General features: G+C 39.5%; 2 protein-coding genes and 1 long non-coding RNA gene across 13 annotated transcripts in view, besides 3 other annotated features; 1 reads left to right on the forward strand and 2 right to left on the reverse strand.

The window, feature by feature from the left end:
- Positions 1 to 16,621, forward strand: part of PAN3 (poly(A) specific ribonuclease subunit PAN3) — a 157,143-nt gene extending 140,522 nt beyond the window's left edge. For 8 of the 11 annotated variants that reach the window (XM_011535034.4, NM_175854.8, XM_005266332.4 and 5 more), the window contains 4 exons: positions 1,698 to 1,827; positions 2,601 to 2,665; positions 9,270 to 9,408; positions 13,668 to 16,621. In XM_011535034.4, the coding sequence (XP_011533336.1) occupies positions 1,698 to 1,827; positions 2,601 to 2,665; positions 9,270 to 9,408; positions 13,668 to 13,808 (475 nt within the window). In that variant the 3' untranslated portion in view covers positions 13,809 to 16,621. Of the gene's footprint in view, positions 1 to 1,697; positions 1,828 to 2,600; positions 2,666 to 9,269; positions 9,409 to 13,667 lie in introns of those variants that run through there. The other 3 variants (XM_011535032.4, XM_047430250.1, XM_011535033.3) reach the window with 2 other exon arrangements.
- Positions 132 to 9,273, reverse strand: LOC124903140 (uncharacterized). The gene is made up of 2 exons (XR_007063735.1): positions 3,641 to 9,273; positions 132 to 264 (listed from the first exon to the last, which is right to left on the reverse strand). It is a non-coding gene; the product is annotated as an uncharacterized LOC124903140 (long non-coding RNA).
- Positions 10,340 to 10,841: an enhancer, noted in NCBI's record as "H3K4me1 hESC enhancer chr13:28863191-28863692 (GRCh37/hg19 assembly coordinates)". NCBI's record gives its function as "activates a minimal SCP1, AML or CMV promoter by ChIP-STARR-seq in naive H9 embryonic stem cells {active_cell/tissue: H9 hESC(naive)}" and the evidence as "EXISTENCE:reporter gene assay evidence [ECO:0000049][PMID:30033119]".
- Positions 10,842 to 11,341: an enhancer, noted in NCBI's record as "H3K4me1 hESC enhancer chr13:28863693-28864192 (GRCh37/hg19 assembly coordinates)". NCBI's record gives its function as "activates a minimal SCP1, AML or CMV promoter by ChIP-STARR-seq in naive H9 embryonic stem cells {active_cell/tissue: H9 hESC(naive)}" and the evidence as "EXISTENCE:reporter gene assay evidence [ECO:0000049][PMID:30033119]".
- Positions 17,600 to 17,758: a silencer, noted in NCBI's record as "fragment chr13:28870451-28870609 (GRCh37/hg19 assembly coordinates)". NCBI's record gives its function as "represses an EF-1alpha promoter that drives an FKBP-Casp9 reporter gene in an ReSE screen in K562 erythroleukemia cells {active_cell/tissue: K562}" and the evidence as "EXISTENCE:reporter gene assay evidence [ECO:0000049][PMID:32094911]".
- Positions 21,632 to 25,909, reverse strand: part of FLT1 (fms related receptor tyrosine kinase 1) — a 194,783-nt gene continuing 190,505 nt past the window's right edge. The window contains exon 30 of the mRNA NM_002019.4: positions 21,632 to 24,654. Coding sequence (NP_002010.2) covers positions 24,453 to 24,654 — 202 coding nt within the window. The 3' untranslated portion in view covers positions 21,632 to 24,452. The remainder of the gene's footprint in view (positions 24,655 to 25,909) is intronic.

Consider the following 25,909-nt stretch of genomic DNA (forward strand, 5'->3'; position numbering starts at 1 on the left):
AGATACCATTATTAGTCCCATTTTAGAGTTACAAAACTGAGCCACAGAGATAAAATAACTTGCCAAAGTCACATAGCCTGTAATAACATTAAATATGATTAGCAGGGTACACATATGTCCATACTTACGGATGAATTGCTAAGATATAGTTTATTCACATGGGTATAGCTATTCATTTATCCACAAAAATGATGACTACTATATGCCAAATGCAGGATACTTTGAATGAGGTGAACAAAATTCCCATCTTCTGGAGCTTACACCCTAATGGGAAGAAAGAGTAAATAAACATAAAAACCAGTGAGATATTTTCAGGTAGTGATAAGACCTATGAAGAAAATAAGAGAATTACAAGCAGAAGAGTGAAGGAGTGAGTAGGAGGCTGCTTTCATGAGAAAGGGCAGAGAATGGCTTTACGTATAGAATAAGCGGCAGTAGATGATTGAGAATCTTTGTGTTCTAACAGGTAGCCCTTGAAATGTGTAGTATTTTCTGCCACTGTTCTAATGATAGAAGAAATTTAACTGGTTCCTTCTGCTGCGTGTTACTGCATTTCTCAGAAATGAATATGTCATGATACCTTGTAAATTAAGTTTTAGAGCAGAGGACAGCTTCTTAAAAAGGCTCATTCAGTTTAGCAAAATTGAAAACCCAGTTTTAGTTCTGAAAATTAATCTTTGCAAAACAACAGGAAAAGCTCCCCACCCCACACCTACCCCCTTTTAGTCCTCTCAAAAAAGTTTCTAAAAACCTTTTCTTTTTTGGCCGGGTGCAGTGGCTCACACCTGTAATCCCAGTGCTTTGGGAGGCCAAGGCAGGTGGATCACAAGGTCAAGAGATTGAGACCATCCTGGCCAACATGGTGAAACCCTGTCTCTATTAAAAATAGAAAAAAATTATCTGGGCTTGGTGGCGCACGCCTGTAGTCCCAGTTATTCACGAGGCTAAGGCAGGAGAATTGCTTGAACCCAGGAGGCAGAGGTTGCAGTGAGCCGAGATCACGCCACTGCACTCCAGCCTGGCAATAGAACGAGACTCTGTCACCAAAAAAAAAAATTCTTTCTATTAATTTATTTTTGTTTTTTGTTTGTTTCCTTTTTTTTGAGATGGAGTTTCACTTTGTTGCCCAGGCTGGAGTGCAGTGGTGCCATCTCAGCTCACTGCAGCCTCTGTCTCCTGGGTTCAAGCTATTCTCCTGCCTCAGCCTCCTGAGTAGCTGGGACTACAGGTGCCCGCCACCATGCCCAGCTAATTTTGTATTTTTAGTAGAGACGGGGTTTCACCGTGTTGGCCAGGCTGGTCTTAAAGTGATCCACCTGCCTCGGCCTCCCAAAGTGCTGGGATTACAAGTGTGAACCACTGCACCTGGCCTGTAACAATCTTTTCATCTAGCACTATTGTAAAGAAGGGTTTGAGAATGGAAATGGGTAAGTGCAGTCCTACTTCACTTTTCTTTCTCATTTCCATAGTAGTGAAAATGTAGAGAAGAGACATGTTTACTGTTTCTCCATTGGCTGTTACAGTTTTCCAGAGGAATGAAATGTAATATTTAAGAATGAACTTGACTTGCATGAATTAAAATGTTTTCAAAATTTTGTGTGCTAAGATGACGGCAGCCAAAACAGCTATGTTTGGGTTATCTTGTTTTTTAAATTGCATGTTGGACATCCAAGTAATTCCTCTTTTATCTTGGGTAGGTATTTGTTGACTGACCAAAACAGGATGCGAAGTGTAAATGACATCATGCCCATGATTGGTGCTCGATTTTATACTCAATTGGATGCTGCTCAAATGAGAAATGATGTCATAGAGGAAGACCTTGCAAAGGTAAAGAGTGTAAATTTTTTTTTTTTTTTTTTTTTTTTGAGACAGAGTCTTGCTTTGTCACCCAGGCTGGAGTGCAGTGGTGCTATCTCGGCTTACTGTAACCTCTGCCTCCTGGGTTCAAGCGAGTCTCCTGCCTCAGCCTCCCAAGTAGCTGGGATTACAGGTGTACGCCACCACACCCCGCTATTTTTGTATTGTTAGTAGAGACGGGGTTTCACCATGTTGGCCAGGCTGGTCTTGAGCTCCTGAGCTCAAGTGATCCGCCCGCCTCAGCCTCCCAAAGTGCTGGGATTACAGGCGTGAGCCATTGCACCTGGCCAGTAAAGAGTGTAATTAAAAGAATGTACACACAACTTGCATCTGTGTATATAAATAGACACAAAATAATCATTGTACTAAATATAATGCCTTATTTGCTAAGATTTCAGATATTTTTGTCGGCACTGAATGTTTGGTATTTTAATTTCTTATGTCCTCTGGACAACACTGTTCTTTTCATTCATGGCTTTGCTACAGTCATGTGACAAAAATCTTGGTTTTTCATGTGAGTTACTTTTCCAATTCCTATGGACAGCTCCATAATCTTCTTGAGTACCATTATGAAATGAAATGGACATATTGTGTTTGTTTAAAAGTATAACCAAAAGGTGGGGATGTTAGGATTTATTGTTTAAAGGTAATATTGGTACAGGTTACCAGTTTTTGTAAATTTTGGCTTTTATGTTCAGTTATCTGGAACATTAACATTTTTCTCTTTTTAAAATGTTTTATAGGAGGTTCAAAATGGAAGACTGTTTAGGCTCCTAGCAAAATTGGGAACAATCAATGAGAGGCCGGAGTAAGGATTTACAGTATTTTACAATATATTTTTAATCGAGAGCACTATTTTGCATAATAAGAATAAGTATGCCTGGCTTTATTTGGAAAAAGAGAAAAATTCTCATGTGAAGTGACCTTAAGATTGTGTTAGCTGTTAAGGTGCTATTTTTAACAACAGCCTAGGTGTGGCTGTCCTTACGAATTTTACACACATGTATACACACAGAAAATATGGTGTGTTAGAAATCTCTTGTGGTTTGCACATGAGGGCACATTTTATGACTAATACTACCTCTACCCTATCTTCTTTTTGAGGAAGAAGTTTCATGTAAGTTTACCCTGGTCAGTTTAGAGACTTGAGAAATCTCTAATTTTTGCATGCCTCTTACCTTCTATTAAAGCACACTTTTTTTTTTTTTTTTTTTTCTTGAGACGGAGTCTCCCTCTGTCGCCAGGCTGGAGTGCAGTGGCACAATCTCGGCTGACTGCAACCTCTGCCTCCCAGGTTCAAGCGATTCTCCTGCTTCAGCCTCCCAAGTAGCTGGGACTACAGGTGTGCACCACCATACCCAGCTAATTTTTGTATTTTTAGTGGAGATAGGGTTTCACCATGTTGGCCAGGGTGGTCTGGTCTTGAACTCCTGACTTCAGGTGATCCACCTGCCTTGGCCTCCCAAAGTGCTGGGATTACAGGCATGAGCCACCACGCCTGGCCTAAAGTATACTTTTTATAGCCATCATATAAGTGACATTGGAAAGGCATTACCTTTTACACTATTTGTCACTTAGTTCCACCTCATTTGTAAGTTAATGTTAACCATATATACATAAGCAGAGTCGATGTTTGTACTACATAACTGTCAAAGACAGGTAGAACAGAATTTGCAATTACTATGACTATATACGTAAGTTACATTTCAGGAATGTTTGATTTGTTAATAGAGATAGGTGAGAGATAAATACTATTACTTGAGGGGTTGTTTTTTTTTTTTACCATGGAATTCAAGTCCACTTGCTTTTCTTCAAAGTCGAAAGACTCATTTAGTGTCTTCCCTAATAATTTTTCTAAGTGAAGAGAACATAACAATATATGTTAAACCATTTTTAATAAACTTTTAGCTGTTTCTTCTAGCATTTATCTCTTTACTTTAAAATGTCTGCTTATAGTTCTATTCTTGATTCCCCCAATATATAATTCAGCTAATGACTCATCCTCTTCCCTACACACGTGCACGCACGTGCACACACACATGCACACATGAGTTGAATCTGTATTTAGTGTTACAAAACACCTCTCCCATGCGGTCAAAAATAGGTAACCTATCAGTTCCTTTTTTTCCCTCCCACCTAGAGAATTGGCTCTGGATCCTCTGCACTTCCTGTTCCTATCTGGGCTGGTTATGCTTTAAGCCTGCACGTGCTTACACTTTAGAACTGGAACTTCCCTTCAGTATTATCTGGGAATTCTCATTATCTCTCTGTGTTGGATACCCTGTTTTCTTGCTTTATTCCTTGGTTTGTTTATTTATTTATTTATTTATTTATTTTGACTTAATGGAGCATGTCCTTGTAGCTTCCTGAAAAAGGTGAGTTTTTTTAGTCTTGCAAGTTTGAAAATGGCATTATTCTACTTTCACACATTATTGATACTGTGAATGCATACTAAATTCTAGATTGTCCTCAGAAAATTTTTCCTTTTTTTTTTTGAGAGGGAATCTCGCTCTATCCCCCAGGCTGGAGTGCAATGGCGCATTCTTGGCTCTCTGCAACCCTCGCCTCCCAGGATCAAGCGATTCTCCTGCCTCAGCTTCCAGTGTAGCTGGGATTACAGGCGCATGCCACCATGCCCAGCTAATTTTTGTATTTTTGGTAGAGACAGGGTTTCACCATGTTGTCCAAGCTGGTCTCGAACTCCTGACCTCAGGTGATCCACCTGCCTCAGCCTTCCAAAGTGCTAGGATTACAGGCATGAGTCACTGTGCCCAGCCAGGAAATTATTCTTATTAATTAAATTTTTTAAATAGGTTGTCTATGAATAAAGTAAAAAGTAGGAAAAGTTTGCAGTGAAAACTGTAAAAGTCTCTCTTTCATACCTGACATCCCCAATATCTATTCCCAGTTTCCCCCATCAGTCTATATTTTTAGTTTCTTCTGTATTATTCCAGAGTTACAAATACAACTATATATTCTTATCCCCTCCCCCTTTAAATATATAAAAATTGTAAACCATACACAGTATATTTTATCATAACAGCGTGTTTTAGAAATCTTTCTATTTAGATATGTTTAGTATATGCCAAGCACTATTCAAAATAGTTTACAAATATGACCTGACTTATTCCTCATAACAACCCTATGATGGAGTTACCATTGTTATTCCTATTTAACAGAGTAATTGCAGCATAGAGAGGTTAAATAACTTGAACAAAGGTTGCGTAATTAATAAGTATATGATCCAGGACTCCAGTCTAGACAGTATGGTTCCAGAGTGTGTGCTCCTAACCACTATGCTATGTGTCTCCTCATACTTTAATGGCCTGGTAGTAGTTTATCCTATGGATGTGTTATAGTTTATTCCCCAGTTCCCTATAGGTGGGCATTTGGGCTGTTTTCAGTCCTTTGCTAGGGTGGGCGGTACTGTAGGGACTAACTTGTGCATACTTAATCTTATATATATGTAAATATAGGCCAATTGTGATTGCTAGGTCAGTAGGTGTGCCACTATAATTTCATAGCTATTGGAGAATAGTTTACCCATGTGTGTAATTCGTGAGACTGCCTCACCAAAATACTTTTTTCAAACTCTTAGATTTTTGTCAACCTTGTAGGTGAAAAATTGAATTTAAATGCAGTTTTATGTTCTATGTACTCTTAACAAGCATGTTTGAGGGTCTGTTTTATGCTATTGATCCATTCTTATGTCCTGTTCAATTCATATCCTTTGCCCATTTTTATTTTCAATTGGATTGCTTGTCTTTCTTATTGATATATAAGAGCTAAAGAGATTCACTCTTTTTGTGATTTTTTTTTTTTTTTTGACTGCTCATTCCCCACCCTTGGAGACATTTGTATATGTCTGTAACTGACCAAATTTCTTCTTTGCTTCTGGATTTTGAATCATAGTTAGAAAGCCTCTTTCTACTCCAAGATTATGAAGGAACTATTTCATGGTTTTTTCCAGAACATTTGTGGTTTCATTTCTTCATATTAAAAATGTTTTATGTGGTTAGAAATTGTATAGGGTGTAAGGTGTAAGTCCATCTCCCCTTGTCCCCAAGACTACCTAGTAGTCCAAAAGCTGTTTATTGAATAGTCGAACAATCTAGCTTTTCCCCACTGGTTTTTGAAGCCACACCTCTTCCATACTATTTTAATTCAATCATGAAATTGAATTTTGAAATCTAGCAGTATTCTTTCCCATCTCCATTTCATTGGGCACCACTTTGTTGTTTTCCTAATACTATTAAATTTTCTGTACAAATTCTAGAATCAGCTTCTTTAGTTAAAAAAAAATCAATAAACCTGATGGTTTCTTCATAGGGAAGATAGCATATTTATCGTGTTTAAACTCTGGGAACATTTGTGATTTTAGATGTTGAGTCATCGTAACCAAGATCATGGTATGTCATTCTATTTGTTGATGTCTACTTTTGTATTCTTCAGTAGTATTTAAGTTGTTCTTTATATAGTTATAGCAATACTGAGTGTATTCTTAGGTATTTCATCTTGTTGCTATTATAAGTGGGAAAATTTCCCCCATTCTGTCTTCTTGTTACTGGTATATATGAGAATTCTTGATTTCTTTAAATTTTATGCTCTGGTACCTTATTGTTTGGGTCGTTTTCAGTAAATTCTCTTTGAGTTTCCCAGGTGTTATCTGCAAATAATGATAGTTTCCTTCCCAGTTTCTATACTTTTAATTTCTCTTGAGTGGTTGTGTTAGCGGGTACTTTCAGTACATAGGTAAGTACTAGTGATGATAGTTCAGAATTTGAAGCATTGTTCCTTTTAACTTCCAGGCAGATTCAAAGGCATTTTCTTTATAAATCCTTTCCTTCCTCCAAGCTTTTGGGTTTTGTTTGTTTGTTTGTTTGTTTGTTTAGTCACTGATGTTCAGAAATTCACAGTGATGTTCCTTGGTGTAGGTTTTGAGTCATAATGATGGATTAACAGGTGAACCCCTTTAATCTTGGAAACTTAACGTCCTTCAGTTCTGGGACATGGTCTTCATTGTTTCTTTAATAACTTCTTGTCCTGGAATTCTCATCGCTCAGATGTTAGACCTTTGCAATTGATTTTCAAATATTCTCTTCTATTTTCTATCTCTAATTTTTTTTGTTCTACTTTCTGGGCAGTTATCTCAACTGCATTTTTCTAAAATTAAAGTTTTTTTTCTAATTCTTTGAATTTTTAAATTTCTGCTATCATATTTTTATTTTCCAAGAACAATTCTGTTTTCTGAATGTTTGTCTTGTACCATCTAATTCTTGTTTCTCTGAGGCCGTCAGTTAATAGATTTTTGCTGGTGGTTGGTTTTTGTTTGTCTTAGTTTTAAGTTTTGTTCCATTCCCTGCAGTATCTCATAGGAAACAAGAGTTTGCTTTATTTTGTTTTGTTTTGTAACAAAAGATTTCTGATACTTAGCTGTCCATTTGTATTAAAAATAAGGTCCTAAAAAGCCAATGGGAAGCCTTTGTGAGGGCAGGGATTATAGAATGTTGAACCTTTCTCTGTGATAAAGCAGTGTGATGTTGTTATACATGATTTTTGTTTGTTTTTGATAGACTGTCAAGGATTATCATTTGTCTTGGACAGGTCAGCATCCCCTGAAAAGAATCTTCCAACCTCTACTGTCTGTGGTATAAGCCTGACAGCCAGGGTTTGGGAACCACACAGAGGGAAAGCATTTGTTGAATAGGGTGTCATCCAGCACTCCTCAGCTCTTCATCTTCTGGTTTGCTTGGCATCCCTGAGGCTCAAGCTTCTCTCTTTCACCCTTTTTAGAAAGTAAAACCTCCAGATTTTTGCCAGACAGGTGGCAGTGGGGTTGAGAGATGGGTTATCTGTTTGCTGTTTATAGAACCTTTTCTCAGTTCTCCTGTTTTCAGCCTCAGTCCAAACTTGCACTTTTAGTAGTCCTTTGTGGCTTCAGTTTCTGAGCTACGCCAGTGTGGGTTGCTTGATTCCTGTGGGCACCCTCTTCCCACATCCCTTGTAGAATTAGGGTTCAGTTTTGTCAGGTCTACTAAGTCATCCCACTTACCTATCTGCCTCTGCATTCCAGATGTTCATGATTATCTCTTGTTCACTATTGTTGCTTTTTCTGATCCCTTTGTCCTTGTGTTTATACCCTTTTTTAGGTATTTACTGTCAATTTGATGGGCTGTTGAAAGGGAGCAGAGATAAATGGGTGTTTAATCTTCATTTTAATTGGAAGTCCTTGGAGTGACCTTTGCAAACATACATATATGATTGTGCTAAAACCATATGGTGAACTTCTCCTCTGGTTCTTAGAATAAAGACCCAGTTTTAAAACATGTCCTAAGCTGTGTAGTCTGATCCCTACCTACTTCTCATCCTGGCGTCAAATCTGCCTTTTATTTAATTTTCTTCCCCCCATCCCCCATTCTTTGTTCTTGTCTTCACTCTGTTCCTTTTCCTTGCCCTTACCCTCCCTCTCCGTGTATTCTGTCGTCTTTTCTTCTCTTTTCTCCCCCAACCCATTCAGACACATGACCTTCCTTAAGTTTCTTCAATGTCCATGCAAATACCGATCTCTGACGAAGGAGCATCCTTCTTCTGGGAAGAGCAGCCACTACTTCCTCTGGAAAACCTTCCTTAATTGCTTTATATACTTATATTCACACATAATTTTACATAAATTTAATGTTATACATTTTCTGTAATCATTGTTTTTACCTATTTTTTCTTAATGGGAATTGTATCACAGTTTGATCTGGGAAGCAGAACGACTTTAAATGATACAGAAAAGGGATTATCAGCCAGGCGCGGCCCTAGATAAATTCATCTTCGTTTTATATCATATTCCTTTTAGGAGCATTATGTAAATATGCAGTTACAGCTTTCTTTGATTATTTGAATAACGTCTGTTTCCTACTAGACTGTAAGTTCCTAAGGTCACTGAAAACTCACAGTGGTCATCTGGTTCTTCACAGCTTGTTTTCACATGGAATGGTAGGAAACCGATATTTACTTCCTTTTTGTTTCCTAAACATTTTTCTATTTTATGCTTATTGGTGAAGTAGAAGATGTACCTGACCTTTCTCTATTCTGTAACCTACAGAGTGGGAGGAAGAGAAGAGAAGATATTTAAAGATATTTTTACCTTTTCCATTTTATCTAATGGTAGGGGCTGAAATAAGGAGGTAATGTAAAATAGGAATGCATAAGGGATGATTTCCCCCTGACATTTGCTAACTGAAAACTGGAATTCATAGACTTACTAGTTCAGTTAGATTATTTTTTAAAAACACTGTACCAGACTCCCTCCCAATTTTTTGTTTATTGGGAAAAAGTAAAACTAGTTTGGAGTCTAAAAAATAGACATATGGCCACAGACCATACAGCATGAGTTACTGAGGTAAAATGTTCATTTCCCCCAGGTTTCAGAAGGATCCCACTTGGTCAGAGACTGGAGACCGTTATCTGTTGAAACTCTTTAGGGATCATCTTTTTCATCAGGTGACAGAAGCAGGTGCTCCCTGGATTGACCTCAGTCATATAATTTCTTGTCTTAACAAGGTAATTTGTATCTAGATTTTTTAAGATCATAATTCTGCCTATAATTTGTATAGAGTTGTATCTTCTACAAATACTAGGAAACTTAAGAAATCAGGATGTACTCTTAAAGTAGCCTGTAAGACGTTTTATTAATAACATTTTCTACAATGGGAGGATTTTTACAATACTTGCATGAATAATTTTTTGGGGCAGTGGAGGACAGAGTCTTGCTCTGTTGCCCAGGCTGGAGTGCAGTGGCCTGATTTTGGCTCACTGCAACCTCTGCCTCCCGGGTTCAAGTGATTCTCCTGCCTGAGCCTCCCGAGTAGCTAGGATTACAGGCACCCATCACCATGCGCAGCTAATCTTTAGTAGCGACAAGGTTTCACCATGTTGGCCAGGCTGGTCTCGAACTCCTCACTTCAAGTGATTCGCCTGCCTCAGCCTCCCAAAGTGGTAGGATTATAGGCGTGAGCCACTGCGCCTGGCCTTCATGAATAATTTTAGAATGTTTTATTGTGGATCTTTTTATTATGATAAAGTATCACAAAATGACTGCTTCCCTCCTTTATGCAATGTTTTATTTACATGTGGTTTTGTTATGCCGCTTAAAACAGTGAATGGTAAAAAGCAAAAAAATAATTTTGTGTTTATTTTTTAAAAATTGAACCCCTTCCGAATCATTGTGAGTTATGTTGGGTGTTATCAAATCATTATTAACTATAGATTTTTTTTTTTTTTTTTTTTGAGACGGAGTCTCTGTCACCCAGGCTGGAGTGCAGTGGCGCCATCTAGGCTCACTGCAAGCTCCGCCTCCCGGGTTCACGCCATTCTCCTGCCTCAGCCTCCCAAGTAGCTGGGACTACAGGCACCCACCACCATGCCCGGCTAATTTTTTGTATTTTTAGTAGAGACAGGATTTCACCATGTTAGCCAGGATGGTCTCGATCTCCTGACCTCGTGATCCACCCGCCTCAGCCTCCCAAAGTGCTGGGATTACAGGCATGAGCCACCGCACCCGGCCTAACTCTAGGTTTTATAATCAAGTAGTAAATAATAAAAGCACAATACTAGTGACATCAGTTACTAGCAGGTCCAGCTGTTATAAATGGTGAATTTGATGATTAGATGAATTAAGTAGATAAAAAATAGATCATAAATTTATTTGAGAGGTGAGGTGAGCTTTTTTTTGGAACGGGGTTTTGATCTGTCACCCAGGCTATAGTGCAGTCGCACTTATGGCTCACTGCAGCCTTGACTCCCCAGGGCTGCAGTGGTCCTCCTTCCCACCTCAGTCTCCTGAATAGCTGGGACCACAGGCACACGCCACCACACCCAGCTAATTTTTGTCCTTTTGGTCGATACGGGATTTCACCATGTTGCTCAGGCTGGTCCCAAACTCCTGAGATTAAGCAGTCCACCCACCCCCAAAGTGTTGGGATAATAGCCGTGAGCCACCACGCCCAGCAGCATTATGTTTTAGAAAAGGTTGGGAAAAGGCTAGGCGCAGTAGCTCGCGCCTGTAATCCCAGCACTTTGGGAGGCCACGGCGGGCGGATCACGAGGTCAGGAGATCGAGACCATCCTGGCTAACACGGTGAAACCCCGTCCCTACTAAAAAATTAAAAAAGTTAGCCGGGCATGGTGACAGGCACCAGTAGTCCCAGCTACTCGGGAGGCTGAGACAGGAGAATGGCGTGAACCCGGGAGGCGGAGTTTGCAGTGAGCCGAGATTGGGCCACTGCACTCCAGTCTGGCCGATAGAGCGAGACTCCGTCTCAAAAAAAAAAGAAAGAAAAGATTGGGAAAGACAAAATTTACAGAGAAAAGAAAGAAGACAGTTCCCTTATGAATTACTTGGCATTATGAAGTTTAGAACTGGTCTCCAGGAGTAAATGTAGTCTCTGTATAGGTTTATGTATAAACCAGGAGCTGGTAAGCCATGGCCTGCAGGCCAAATCCGTTCTATGGCCTATTTTTTTAAAGCGTGAGAGCCTCGAATAGTTTTACATTTTTAAAGAGTTGTAAAATAAACAATAAGCCAAACCTAAAACATTTACCGTCTGACCCTTTATAGAAAACATTTACTGACTCTTGGTCTAAACTTTCCTAAATTATAAGTACTAGAGGAAAAAATATCTACTGTAGCACATGATTTAGAACTATTAATGTACAGTGTGGTAACCTTTCAGGGAAAATGTTACGGTTTGTTTTTAAGCACTACTTTGCCTTCCTTTAACTTCCTTAAAACTCTATAAGGAGTATTGTCAATAACCTACATTAAGACTGCACAAAACTGGCCAGGCTCGGTGTCTCACGCCTGTAATCCCAGCACTTTGGGAGGCCCAGGTGCACGGATCACCTGAGGTCGGGAGTTTGAGACCAGCCTGGCCAATGTGGAGAAACCCCATCTCTACTAAAAATACAAAATTAGCCGGGCGTGGTGGTACATGCCTGTAATCCCAGCTACTTCGGAGGCTGAGGCAGGAGAATCATTTGAACCCCAGGAGGCAGAGGTTGCAGTGAGCCGAGATTGTGCCATTGTACTCCAGCCTGGGCAACAAGAGCAAAACTCTGTATCAAAAAAAGAAAAAAGACTGCACAAGACTATATGTATCATTGAACTAATTCAGTATGAGTTATATATTTATTTTCCCTTTATTTATGTTAGGGGAAAAACCTTTTCTTGAGAGCAATATGTAGAAAATAATTCTGTCAGATTTTAGAGCATAGTATCAGAGTACCAGTAGTTAAAAATACGTAGAACCAGAACAAACATTGACAAGTAGGTAATATGGAATAAGCCATGGACAGTTGCCTTAAGCAAAGATCATTTAATGAATATTAGGATAATATTAAATTCATCAAAGATCATTTAATGAATATTAGGATAATTGAAAATTTGAAGAAAATTCTGTTTCACATCATGAACTAGCTAGTAGTAAATAATACCCCAAATCTGAAGTGTGACAATATTCTAAGTTTGAAAAGAGTGTGATAAATTAAAAGGGAAGGATGGCCAGATTGATTATACAAAATTAAGATTTTATATAAGCTTATTTTGGTAGAAATAATGACAGAAATTGTCTGGTAAATGATTTGAATGTTTGAGCCTTCAGTGAGTTGTAAACATATTTTAATGAATTATGTATCAATTAATGAAATAAAGTACATTGAAAATAACAAAAATAAAGTGAAAACCATAACAAGACAAGTTGATAGACTAAGGATCAGTATTTATGCTTTACAAAGACCTCACTAAAATATTACTGCCAAATTCCATTAGGGTCATGAGTAAAGATCATATACTAGCATTTACACAAGCAGAAATACCAAAAGTAAATGTATGAAAAAACTTTGATAATAGTAGTTAAAATCTAAATTTAAATAGCAAGGTGCTCATTTGCTGTGGGGTTGCTGGAAAAGTATTAAAATCTTATAAATTAGGCTGGGCACGGTGGCTCACACCTGTAATCCCAGTACTTTGGGAGGCCGAGGCGGGTGGATCGCCTGAGGTCAGGAGTTCGAGACCAGCCTGGCCAACATGGCGAAACCCCGTCTCTACTTAAAATACAAAATATTAGCTGGGCGTGGTGGCAGGTGCCTATAATCCCAGCTACTCGGGAGGTTGAGGCAGGAGAATTGCTTGAACCCGGGAGGCAGAGGTTGCAGTGAGCCAAGATTGCGCCATTGCACTCCACCCTGGGCAACGAGCGAAACTCCATCCCCAAAAATTAAATAAATAAAAATAAAAACTTATAAATTCATGGTGTCTGATTGGAAAACAATTTGGTTCTATGTACTAAGCTATAAAACCACTTCTACTTTACTTTTTTGTGTTTTTTTAAAATTTTTTAAAAACCAATTTCTTAATACTTTACATTTTATTATTAATATTTATACTTCTAAGTATTTTTCCTAAGGAAAAAGTACTTCCCACAGAAGAAAAAAATTAAGTAGATGAGTATGTTCATTGCACTGTAATTTATTATGCCAAAAATGGAAGATACTGGGAGAAAAATTATGGAGCATCAACTGGGTAAACTATAATACAAACAAACGTTAAGCGTGAAGGGATAGAAACATAGGGCAGTGTTTGTGTAAAAATGTCTGAGTCGAAAATTATGTGCATACTGATGAATGATATAAATGTACTCATGGATATCTGAAAGGGAATGTGACAAAAAAAATTTAGATATTTTATTTATTTTTGCTGCAAACGTAGATAAATTCTTTTCTGCATGTTATGAATTTCATATTTTGTGTATATATTGTTTCAGCTAGATGCTGGTGTGCCAGAAAAAATAAGCCTGATTTCCAGAGATGAGAAGAGTGTACTTGTGGTGACCTACAGTGACTTAAAGCGCTGCTTTGAAAATACTTTTCAAGAACTGATTGCAGCTGCAAATGGTCAGTTGTAGTATTTGCTAAAAAAGCACGCAGGACATGGCTAAAGACCTTAACCAATAGCAAATTGCACTACAGCTGAACTTTTCATCATCTCATTCACATTTGGGAAACGAACAGGAGATGAGCAAAGCTGCTTGCACTTCAGTCAGGTACACTGTTACTTGAAAGGAAGAATGTTTCACTTACCCAAGAGCTATGGCTGCCATTGGAGGCTGTTATCTGTGAAGAATTTATTTTAGATTTAGGAGCACCATCAGGTGAATGATGTTCCTGCTTTTGTTTTTTCCACTTGTATATGCACTAATTTTAATTTTTTAAAGACTTTTTCTGATCTTTGAACTTTTGCCACATTGTATACTTATAATGGGAAACTTTGCAAGGACATTTTTGGGAAGCAATGCTGGGCAGCGTTTTTGCCATTGAGGGTTGCAGAATTTGCTCTTTTTGGGATGGGTTGCCCTGAATAACATTACGGACCAGGTAAATAATTTCATAGAAGTTCAGTATAGTACGTAATTCTTGTAAGAGTATCGTATGCAAGCTCTCTGTATGCCACCCACTGTTAGTTCAAATTGAGATTTTTGTTTTGTTTTGTTCTTAAGAACATACCAAGAAAATACCAGTGAATTGTTGGATATGAATTCCCTGTTAGTTGATTTAAATCCTTTCTGAATAAAGATCAGATAAACAGTAACTGAAGGAGCATGTATAGCTCTTTCCTTCAAATTCAACTAGAGCCTTTTTAAAAAGACATTTGCCTGCTAGTCAGATACATTTACATTTATGCAAATTTTTTAAATAGGAGAAAATTAAGAAATTGTGTTAAAGGCCTAAAGTTCAGGAGTGTATTACTTTAGGTTCTTTCCAGTTTGCTGGTTTTTTTTTTTTTTTTTTTTTTTTTTTTTGGGCGGGGGGGAGGTTTATGAAGTTTTGCTCTTTGAACCACAGCTTTATTATGGTCCTTTACACTGGAGACAGACACAGAGACACTGTTCAGAAGATGAACTAAACTCAGCAGTGGTCTGGTATCAAGAGCTTTCTGATGTTTTACAGCCTGAATTTGGAGGGATAACGATCTGCTGTGCCTTTGCAGTCACTGCTTAGCCCAAAGTAATAGTACTTTTGATAATAACTCACTCTGTGCGATATTCCTGAATAAGTCCATCTCAAAAGTTTGGGATTTTCCTCCTCTTAACTTTCTTAATATTTGGACATGCAGTTGTCGCCAAACTTGGGTATTCATGGAATTTCTAGTAAATGAAATACCTATACTTTGATACTGAAGACTGCCAAATACATAGGAATTTTCTTTCTTAAAAAACAGTAATGAAGACTATATCTCCTTTCCCAGCACTGAATGTTTTACTAGCACTGGGTGCTCACCATGCAACTGAAGAAAATGTGGAAACTCAAAAGGTCAGGACAGACTTCCAAGCACTTGCAACTGATGTTACTGTCTTCAATTTTAATAATTACACATATTTGTATATTTCAGAGAAGTTTTTAATATTTCTCTGTCCACTTTTTATAAGCTTTAAAATGATTTTCTCTGCCTTGAGATTTGCATCAAGAAAAAGCACCTCTCTTCACCTGAAAGCTTTGAAGACTAGAGACACGCTTTACACGTTTTAACAAGTATATTGAGTCCACGTTTGGTAGCATCAGTTGTTGAGTTAAAAAGAAAATTATTGCATTTGATCTGGATGGATTTTAAAAGAATATAATGTTCAATATTAAAAGGATAATTCACATTTGCCACCATAATGTTCTTTTTTATGTAAAAAGAAGAACTTGGAGACATTAACATGAAAAAGTCTTTTATCATTAGCTCATGTATTTGAGGAAGAGCAGCTGTCTTTTTATATGTTTTTTGACAAATCATATTGTATTCTTTTGTACAAAAAAGAACTACTTGTATTCTAGAAGAAATATGAAATGCTTAATTTATAAGCGGGCTGGAGATTTTTTCCAATATTGTTTTCTTTGAAAATGAAAGGGGATCATCTATTTTAGTTTTGGGGTCTGGGAACTTTTTGAAAATTTAATTTGTGGACCAATGTTTTGTGAAAGCTAAAGAGGGCAGGGGTTAAAATAGGGCTTGAATTTCTCATTCTGTATAGACCAGCAAACTTCCCTGTGCAAGGCAAGTTTACATCACAAATCCAAGAATGTTTGCATCCTAAATGCTAGTTTGCTTCAGCCCCTAGTTAACCTCAGGACTTGGTTTGCATATAAAAGGTAGACAGCTGATATGTTTTCATGAATAAATATTGTCAGCCAGAAAAGGTTGGTGTCAGGTAATGCATATTTTTTTAAGCTTTGTTTTATATTTATTTTTCATTTAGTTTTTATTGGGAATGGTTTTCAAAGAACTCTCAGTTCTGCCTAGGTGTTTTTGGGGGAGCCCTGTTTTCCATAGTGTAATTCCATTTAAGAGGTTGTCTAAAAGTCTTTTTAATTAATAGAAAGATTTTAATATCCAAGAGTAGTCAAATTAAGGATATAAACTTTCCACACCTTCCTGTCGTGACAGATAAAAGCACAGAAAGGACAACCCTTGAAATCATGTAACGTTGGTCATTTCAATATTTTGTACCTGTTTTAAATTCTGTTAGTGTATTTACTTCATTGTAAATATTTTTGAGGGTACCTTTGTATTTTGCTTTTGACCTTGGTTCTGTGATTTGGATGTCAACAACTTCCCTAAAAAGCACCAGTGTGTTAGGTTCTAATGTCATGACCCAATTTGTGTTATTCATCTTTAATCCTGTTTTCAGTCTCTATGTGTACAGCAGTATTTTTAATAAAGAATTACAGAGATAAATTTGTCCTTTTCTTGCACGTGTTCATATAACAAGATGATGATTATCTTATGATTGGATTTTAAAAGATTGGTTATTTCCTCTGTATTTTGGAGGAATTTTTGTATTTGGATGAAATGGCAGCAGATTTATTCATTAATTTATCAGGTAGTCCTTAAGTCTTATCTACTGTGTCCTTGGATCTGTTCTAGGCACTAAGACAGATACAGGGACTTGGTATTTACAGAATGTATAGTTATACCCAAACATCTTAATACAATACATGACTAACAATGTAGTTTAGGAGAGAAGACTACTCACGAGAAAGCATAAGGGGTCTGCCATGTGTATGTCTGGTGGTAAAGTATTCCAGGTAAGGGAATGTTTCAGAGCCTTTGCGGAACAGCAGGGGAGCGAATGTGGCTAGAGCCAAGTTAAGTAGGAAGTGACGTCAGAAAGGTCTATAGGGAAGGGGTGTGTCCTGTGGACCATTTTAAGTATTTTGGCTTTTACCCTCAAAAGAGGAAGCCGTGCCGGGCGCAGTGGCTCACGCCTGTAATCCCAGCACTTTGGGAGGCTGAGGTGGGCAGATCACGAGGTCAGGAGATCGAGACCATCCTGGCTAACATGTTGAAACCCCCTCTCTATCAAAAATAAAAAAATTATCCAGGCGTGGTGGCAGGCGCCTGTAGTCCCAGCTACTCGGGAGGCTGAGGAAGGAGAATGGCGTGAACCCAGGAGGCAGAGCTTGCAGTGAGCCTAGATCGCACCACTGTACTCCAGCCTGAGCATCAGAGCAAGACTCTGTCTCAAAAGAAAAAGGAAGCTGCAGGAGGATTTTCAGCAGAAGAGTAACATGATAAGACATTTAAAAAGGATCACTCTGGCTACGACGTGAACAGACTGAGGGAGGAAGTGAGCTGTTGACATGGTGGGAAACTGACAGCATCCCAAGTGAAGGATGTTGGATTTTAAAACCCATGTCTTTTGAGTTTTGTTGGGTTTTTTTGTTTTGTTTGAGACGGAGTCTCACTCCATCGTCCAGGCTGGAGTGCAGTGGCACGATCTTGGCTCACTGCAACCTCTGCCTCCTGGGTTCAAGCGATTCTCCTGCCTCAGCCTCCCGAGTAGCTGGGATTACAGGCATCCGTCACCATACCTGGCTAATTTTTATATTTTTTGTAGATACGGGGTTTCACCATGTTGGCCAGGCTGGTCTCAAACTCCTGACCTCAGGTGATCTGCCTGTCTTGGCCTCTGAAAGTGCTGGGATTACAGGCATGAGCCAAAGCGCCCAGCCATCTTTGAGTTTTAAAACCCACCTGCGACTGAGCACGGTGTCTCACAGCTGTAACCCCGGCACTTTGGGAGGCCGAGGCAAGTGGATCACCTGAAGTCAGGAGTTCCAAGACCAGCCTGGCCAACAGAGCTGGTCTGACAAGAGCGAGACTGTCAAAAAAAAAAAAAAAAAAAAAACACCTGGACTAGGGTGGTAGCAGTAGAGGTGGTGCAGAGTGGCTGGACTTCAAATAAGGTTTTAAAGGTAGAGCCATCAGGGATGTCCTGATTCACTGGATGCGGACAAAGAAGAGAGAAGTCAGGAATGACTCTTAAGATTTTGGCTTGCTGGCCAGGTGCAGTGGTTCATGCCTGTAATCCCGACACTTGGGAGGCCAAGGTGCGCAGATCACCGGAGCCCAGAGTTTTGAGACAGGCCTGGGCAACATAGTGAGACCTTGTCTCTACAAAAAGTAAAATCAGCCAGGCATGGTGTCACGCACCTGTAGCCCCAGCTACTCAGGGGGCTGAGGTGGGAGGATTGATTGAGCCCAGGAGGTCAAGGCTGCAGTGCACCGAGATGGAGCCATTGCACTCCAGCCTGAGCGACAAAGTAAGACCCTGTCTCAAAAAATATTTCCTTTGGCTTGATGCTCACAGGATAGAGGATTCTGCTGAATTGGAAGAGACTGTTGTAAGAACAAAGAGTCTACAGGGCAGGGGAGGATGGAGAAACAGGAAAAGACAATTTGGGAGTTTGGTCTAAGGCCCATTAAGTTTGAGATGTTTAGTACACATTTGTTCTGGTTATTTGCTTTGTAACAACTCCACCCTTAATGGCATAAAACAAGCATTTTATTACATTCAAGGATTCTGTGGGTCAGGAATCTGGGCAAGACACAGCAGGGAGGCTTGTCTCTATGCCATTGTGATTGGGCCTCCGCTGGGAAATTCCAATGGATGGGGGCTGGAGTGACTTGCGGGCTGGACTCAGCTGGCTGCTGTCTATGGGAGCACCTTCACATGGCCTCCATGTGGCTTAGGTTTCTCCAAGTATGGCTGCTGGGTCCCTGGCGGGAACTGTTGAAGAGTGAGTGTACCAAGACTCAGGAAGTGCATGATCTTTTCTGACCTGGCCTCCAAGCCATGCAGTGTCCCTTCTTTCACATTGCATTGATCACAAGTGAGTCCTAAAGCTAGCTCTGATTCTAGGGGAGGGGACATTGCCAAAGGTCGTGTGCCAAAGGTCGTGTGAGATGGGAGATAATCTTGCAGCTGTCTTTGAAAAATAGAATATTTTTGAAAAATACAGTACAATATCTTTGAAAAATACACCTGTATTTGAAAAAAATACAGTCTGCTAGAGCATCAAGGGGAGATGTCAGGTTAGCACTTGTGTATATATGAGTTTAGAGTGTTGCAGCGGGCAGGAAGAATCTCTTCTGTCCATGAAAGTCATCATATGGGTGTCATTGAAAGCCCTGAGATTGGTTGAGATCATGAAGGAAGTTGGTATAGACTGAGAAAAGAAAGCTTCAAGGGCAAGCCCTGGGGTAACTAGAGCAATGTTCAAAAGTCAGGGAAAAGAGGTAAAACCAGCAAAAGAGACAGGTAGCCTATGAGATGGGAAGAAGAAAGTATCATGTCCTGGAACCAAACTGAAGTTGTTTTTGCGAATAAGTGTCAAGCTGCTGAAGTGTCAAATAAGAATGGGACTGAGAGTTAGCCATTGGATTTATCAATATGGAGTCACTGGTGACCTTAGCAAAAGCAGTTTCAGTGAGTGATCGTGAAAGCTAGGCTTGAGTGGGTTTAAGAGTGAGTGGGAGGAGAGGAGTTGGAAACAAGTAATAATAACTAATAACCAACTCGCTCATGGGATTTTGCTGTAAAGGGAAATAGAGAAATTGGGTGGTAGCTGGAGGAGAAAGTACAGATGAAAATTTTGTAAGATGGGAGAAATAACATGTATGTTCCAGTGGAAAAGGGGAAAATTGATGGTGGGGGGCGGTGGAGAATTGCTAAAGCAATTCAAGTCTCAGAGGGACACCAGTGTGTTTTGGGTTGGCTGTCTAGAAGGGCAAGCACAGTATATGGGGACATAAGCTTGGAGGTGGGGAGATGTGACAAGTGGGGTCTTGGAGTTCTTTAATTTTCCCATTGAAGTAAAGGATATACTAATAGTACCTATCATGTTAGATTGCCTTGAAAATAAGTGTGTTCCTTTAAAGCACTTTAAATAGTTGCTGGCACATATTGGGTACTCAAATGATAGCAATGATAGCAATTACTAGCTATCACTGCTTCCCAAATACCAATCTGTGGAACAACATGTGTTCATTAGTTTATTCTAGTACAAATGAAAATGGGAAAAAGAAGGATAATATAGGTATGTTTCAAAACAAATATATTTTAGTCTGAGATTAAGCCCTTCCACCTTTTAAAATGGGTTTTCTCCTATGAAAAGTAGTGGTACTAAATGGCAGGGGTTTTTTTCTTCTTTTAGTAATATTGCATTGAAGAATTGTGTACATACATTCATATATATACACACACATTCACAAGTAAGTGTGCAGCTCAGTGACTCATCATAAGGTGAGCATACCTATGCACTACCACCCGGATCAGGAAATAGAACATTAGTAGCATCTGGTTGGATTTTGGGTTTTTTTTTTCCCCCTCCCTCAAGTGTTCTTAGCTCGCAGAATAGAAGAATGGCCATCCCTGTGTTGGGATCAAGGATTTTTTTTTTTAATTTCCTGGCCTGTGAAACCCAAAAGTCTGGTAATATGTTTAACACTGAGGAGTCCAATAAACCTTACTAGGCCATACTTCTGCTGGAGGAAAGAATAAAAATTAATTCCCAAATGTACTATAAGTTTCCAGAGCCATGAGAACATTTCTAAACTGACGTGACATTGATTCCTCAAGCATTCTTCAAGTCATTTGCCTGAATGAATGATTTTATTCTTATGTTATGAAACCCATAATACTTTTTAAAGGATTTCAGATTCTTGAAGACAAAATGCCTCTTGCCCTCTTGAGTTAACTAAAAGTGTACTGAGATTTGTCATTTATCCATTTTTATTGTCTTTGTCCCAAAGAAAGTAGGCCTATTTTTTCCCCTTAAAATATCTTTCCAATCTAGTTTCCTTATGATGATATTAGGCGGGTAATACTATGACCAATTTCTAAGACAAAGTGTTGGTCACTTATTCAATTTCTAGTACTTAGTGACCTGAGTTGTTTTCCTAGGACATAATCCACAAAACAAGATTGAAGAATACAGAGCTGGCATGTGTACTTTTACATTCTTGGGTTTCAAGCTTTTGCCTATTATTTTGTGTGGTTTTCTGCAGCATGTGTACACACCCTCTGTGATTATGCTAATTATTTATCAGCTGAAAATTAGTGTTTGGGGACAACTGCCTCTTTTTAATTGAGGGCACTTTTCTCTGCGGCTGGCACTCACACCCAGCATATGCTTTACTTGTTTCATGATCCTGTTGATGTTAGGGTTTAGTTTTCTGGGCAATCTGCCTAGTTTGATTTTGTTTTTTACTTACTGGTTGCAGTGTTCTGATTGTTTAGCACAGCCATTTTCTAGGACCGATAGAAACCTCTTTGCCCTCTCTTCAGCAGCATTTGCTTTATCTTTCTTGTGCTGTGTTTAATAAAGAGCACTAGTCCTCCACCCCCAGGGACACCTGTGACCTCTTTTTTACACTTAACAAGCAAATCAGGGAGAAAATATATGTGTTTTTGGAAGTTTATTATATGAAGATGGTATACAAAATACATTCATCATGACTAGAAATATAGGACCAAACCATGTCTGTCTTATATCTGTAGCATATATTCTTGGTTTGTATAAAAGTAACTTTAAAATTCCAGTTTCCTTAAATAGTTATGCACAAAACACACATACACCCACACACACACACACACACACACACACACACACACATACAGTTACACCACTGTCGGCCAAAGATGCACTCCTCCTTTAATCAATTTAAATGAGGCTAGCGAGTATCTGTTTGATGTTTGCATTCTTGTGGGCTAGGAAACAAGGCACGGGTCCCTAAAATTAACATCTCGGTGTCACTTCTTGGACTGACAAGACACAGACTTGCACATGGTTTCAGCCCCATTCCACCCAGACTGTTCCACGTACATTATCTCAGAAACTCTGAAAGGAAGTGCTCGTTCTTTGTTAGTGCCAACCATTTTTGTCATAAATGGCAAATGATTGGAATATTATCAGTTAATTCATGTTTCAATTTTCAGTGCTATTTTAATGAACAAGCACTTTGTAACTAGCTCATTATTACAAGTCTCCATTTTTCTTTCTACATTAAGACTCCAGATGGAACCATTCTTTGACTGATGGATGGACTCATGTATGCTACAAACCTGAGTTTGAAGGAGCTGAGTAACAATTCTAATGGTTTTGCTTTTCTCTTGAAAAGGAGTATTTATTATGGTCTCTTAATGATTAAGAATTAATTATTGAAATCAAGACATGAATAGCTAAGGTTTTATTTGTTATCACTATTTGCTGGGCTATTATCTGATTTGGAAAAAAAAAAAAAAGTAGAGAATTGACTGAGGTCTTCTTTTTTCTGTGTTTAACCTCCTTCCAGTTACCTGATTTATAAAATTGCCAGCTGTCACAGGTGGTTTGCGTATGTAAAGAAGAGGAAGAACAAAGATTTGTCCTCTCTTCTGGCTCTAGCCTGCTTTTGTTTGGATTTAGATCTTGGTGGAGAGGACTGTCCCACTCCTCTCTTCTGGCTAGTGAGTCTTCCACAAAAGCCGCTGCCAGGAGCCAGTAGGCTCACTAGGGAATGTGCTGATGACGGTCCCATCTCTTCATACAGAGAGCCTTTAAACAAGGATGTGGCACATAAGAACAGAGGCATACATTCTTCGGTTACTTAGAGCTCAGGTTCTACAGTTAAATTACATGGATAAAAGGAAGCATACTCTTCTCCCCAAGAAGCAGCAATCCACTGTTGCCTCTCCAGCTTCTGACTGGCTGCAGAAGGTGCAGACATCATAAATACATAGACCCTAACTTGCATAAATAGCATCAAACAGAGCCAGCTTAGCGATCCAAGGCCCACTTGATCTTTAGACCCTGAAGAGTAGGCGCCCTTTCCTACCCTGTCTCCCTATTCCCATCATGCTCAGACCCCAGGCAAGTTTCAAAGCAGTTGAAAATGGGCTTTTCTTCTAGTGATGGCTCATTAACTAATATCCTGAGTCCCAACTGGAGAAATACCTTGCATAAATTACATACCACCTTTTTACTCAAGGAGCTTAAAGTGCTTAATATGCGCCAGCTAATGCTCTTCCACATCCTTTCAGATTAGTGTGAGATAGTGGAATCCCCATTAAATGAAAAGGAAACGTGACTGACTTCCTGTGTTTTGGGTCCCAACTGTGTTGGTGAATTGGTTTGGTTGGTATAGAGACGGGGTTTTCCCTTGACCTTATTGACCTTTTTCCTCCATCAGCCCTCGTTTTGATATGGAGAAAACTCCTCTCCTCAGGACTGCATTTTCATTCTTCTCAGCTTTCTTTCACAACTAACTGTGCAAAACAGAATAATACCAAGAAATTGAGTTAAGTGTCTGGACTATATATTAATACCCAAAATAGAATGTGACATTTTCAGTGTAAGGCCATCATGGCCTGGAGACAACCTAACTCTGGCTAAGTTTTCAGTGCATCTTACTAGAGGAGCCAAAAGTATGGGCTCAGAGTTGAGTGCCACCCTCAGTGCTACAAATCAAAACATGCCACGAATGAGAATGGACATAGAACCACTTCCATAGGTAAAGTTCTAAAATTTGCTTTAGTTCCAAAAAAGATATTTGTCCTTTTCTTGCCTCCCAGAATCCAGAAAATGTCCCCTCATCGCTGTCCATCTGCTCCTGGCTGGGCCCTCAAATGTAGAAGGGTCAGAGCTGGGAAGCCACTGAAATGGCATTGCTGAGCCCCGTCCCCCTCCGTGCCCACATGGTGCGTCTCAAATTCTTTCTCATGCCTTCTCCCGGTTTCTCTTTTCTCCCTTGCTTTTTGCTTTTTTTCCTTTTCCTCCTCACATGTCTTAGGCCTGCTAGAGGACTCCCGAGATGTTGCTCAGGCCAGCCAGTGATCCCTGGGGCTAACGGGCTTGTTGCCCTGGGTTTTGGGCTGCAGGGCTGGCCCAGTGGGGTACGTGATGCATTGGGTGATCAGTGCAGCTCCTCAATCAAACTGGTCCTGCGTGCCCTGAGGTGGCGGGGGTTGGAGCAGGGAAGTCATTGGGTTTAGGAAGGATTTCTCTAACACTGAGTAACATGAGGATTTAGCAGTAGTGTTCTTCACTTGTCACTATTTCTCTATCTGGAGTTACATTCTTGTTAGTCAAAAAAAAAAAAGCACTATTAAAAAAATCACAAAAAGCAGCTGGCTCCCATGGAAAGATAAAGGTGTAAACTTATATATGCATAATACTGGCAAAAGCTAGTTTCCTGGGGGTATAAATACACATGTGCTTCTAGAAATAAGGCTTCGTGTCAAACTCTAGATGGGTGGGGTGGAGTACAGGACCACCGAGTTGTAGTCTGGGGGCGGGGAGCAGCACGCGATTTTCCTTTCCAGCTCAGCGTGGTCGTAGGTGAACCTGCGCTTGCCTTCGCTGACGTGCCCACAGCTGGAATGGCAGAAACTGGGCCTGCTGACATCAGACAGCCCCGACTCCTTACTTTTACTGGTTACTCTCAAGCTAAAGAAAGAAAGGAAAGAAATCAAATATTCAAAATTGGTTTTTTAGAAAACAAAGACACTAAAATCTACTCTTTCTGAGTGGGTCATTTGTTCATACCTGTCTAGAGTTCATGGTTTTGGAACCCCCCCCCCCTCAATTGCTGTCAGATTTCCTCTGTTCTAAAGCTGCACACGGCCTCCCTCTTAACAGCTTGGTGTCATTGGGCAGAAAGACAGTGGCTGGGGGAGGGTATGAAATGTATGATAAGATAACGCAAATCCATAATCCAGGTGGAAAGTAACTCCAAGACTTGGGTGCAGCCCTCTCCTATTCTTGGGTCAAACAGCTTCTGTGGTAGGCTGAGAAATGCCTCCTACCCTCCAAAATATTCAAATTTTTCATATTTTATATCCCTTCTGGCCTCCAGAACTGCAAGAGAATAAATTTCTCTTGTAAGTTGCCAAGTTAGTGGTAACTTGTTACAACAGTCTCAAAAAACAATAAAGCTCCACACACACAAGTGAGTGCCTCTCTGCCTGTCGTGCCTGTGTTCTAGAAGAGGAAACGTTTTAGTCACGGTGCTGCTTATCACCAGCAAGGCTCAAGGGTGGAGAAACTTGCTTCTGGGTCCTCTGTGTTACATCCAGACTAGGACAGACACCTGAGGAAGAAGCGCTGCTCTTGCCCTTTAATATTCGTTCAAATTTTTTATTTTCAAAGGATCTGGGATGAGGCAGGGAACCCGTGAAGCTTGTTTTAGACCGGTCTGGACTAACGTGTCCATGTTCTATATTTTCAGTCTCAGAGTAGAGGATACAATTTATGGTCTTCTTTAACAAATATCTAGATAAAATTAGTCACCACCCATTTTCTGAAGTGTTCCAAAGTAGGAAACAAAAGAGCAAGTATCCTACCTTCCCCTTTGATCCATTCATTCCTCATTGGTGCCTCTGATCTACTGTAACTCAATTCTAATACCACTGTGCTCATGTGAAAAGGAAACACACACGCAGATGTTTGCCTGGAAATGCCCCTGTCTTTCCCATTTACTTGTGGCCGATGAGTTGTGCTAACTACATCACTTGGAGGCACTTGTTGCCATCCTTTGATTTAGATCAGGGTTCAAAAACTATAACCCATATCTGCCCACCTGTCTGGTGTTTTTTTTTTTAATGAGAGCTTTATGGAGATATAATTTACATAGTGCATAATTCGCCTATTTAAAATGTGTAAGCCAATGGTTTTTTGTATAGACACAAATTGTGCAACCATC

The sequence above is a fragment of the Homo sapiens genome, chromosome 13, assembly GCF_000001405.40.
Source record: "Homo sapiens chromosome 13, GRCh38.p14 Primary Assembly".
Lineage (NCBI taxonomy): Eukaryota > Metazoa > Chordata > Mammalia > Primates > Hominidae > Homo > Homo sapiens.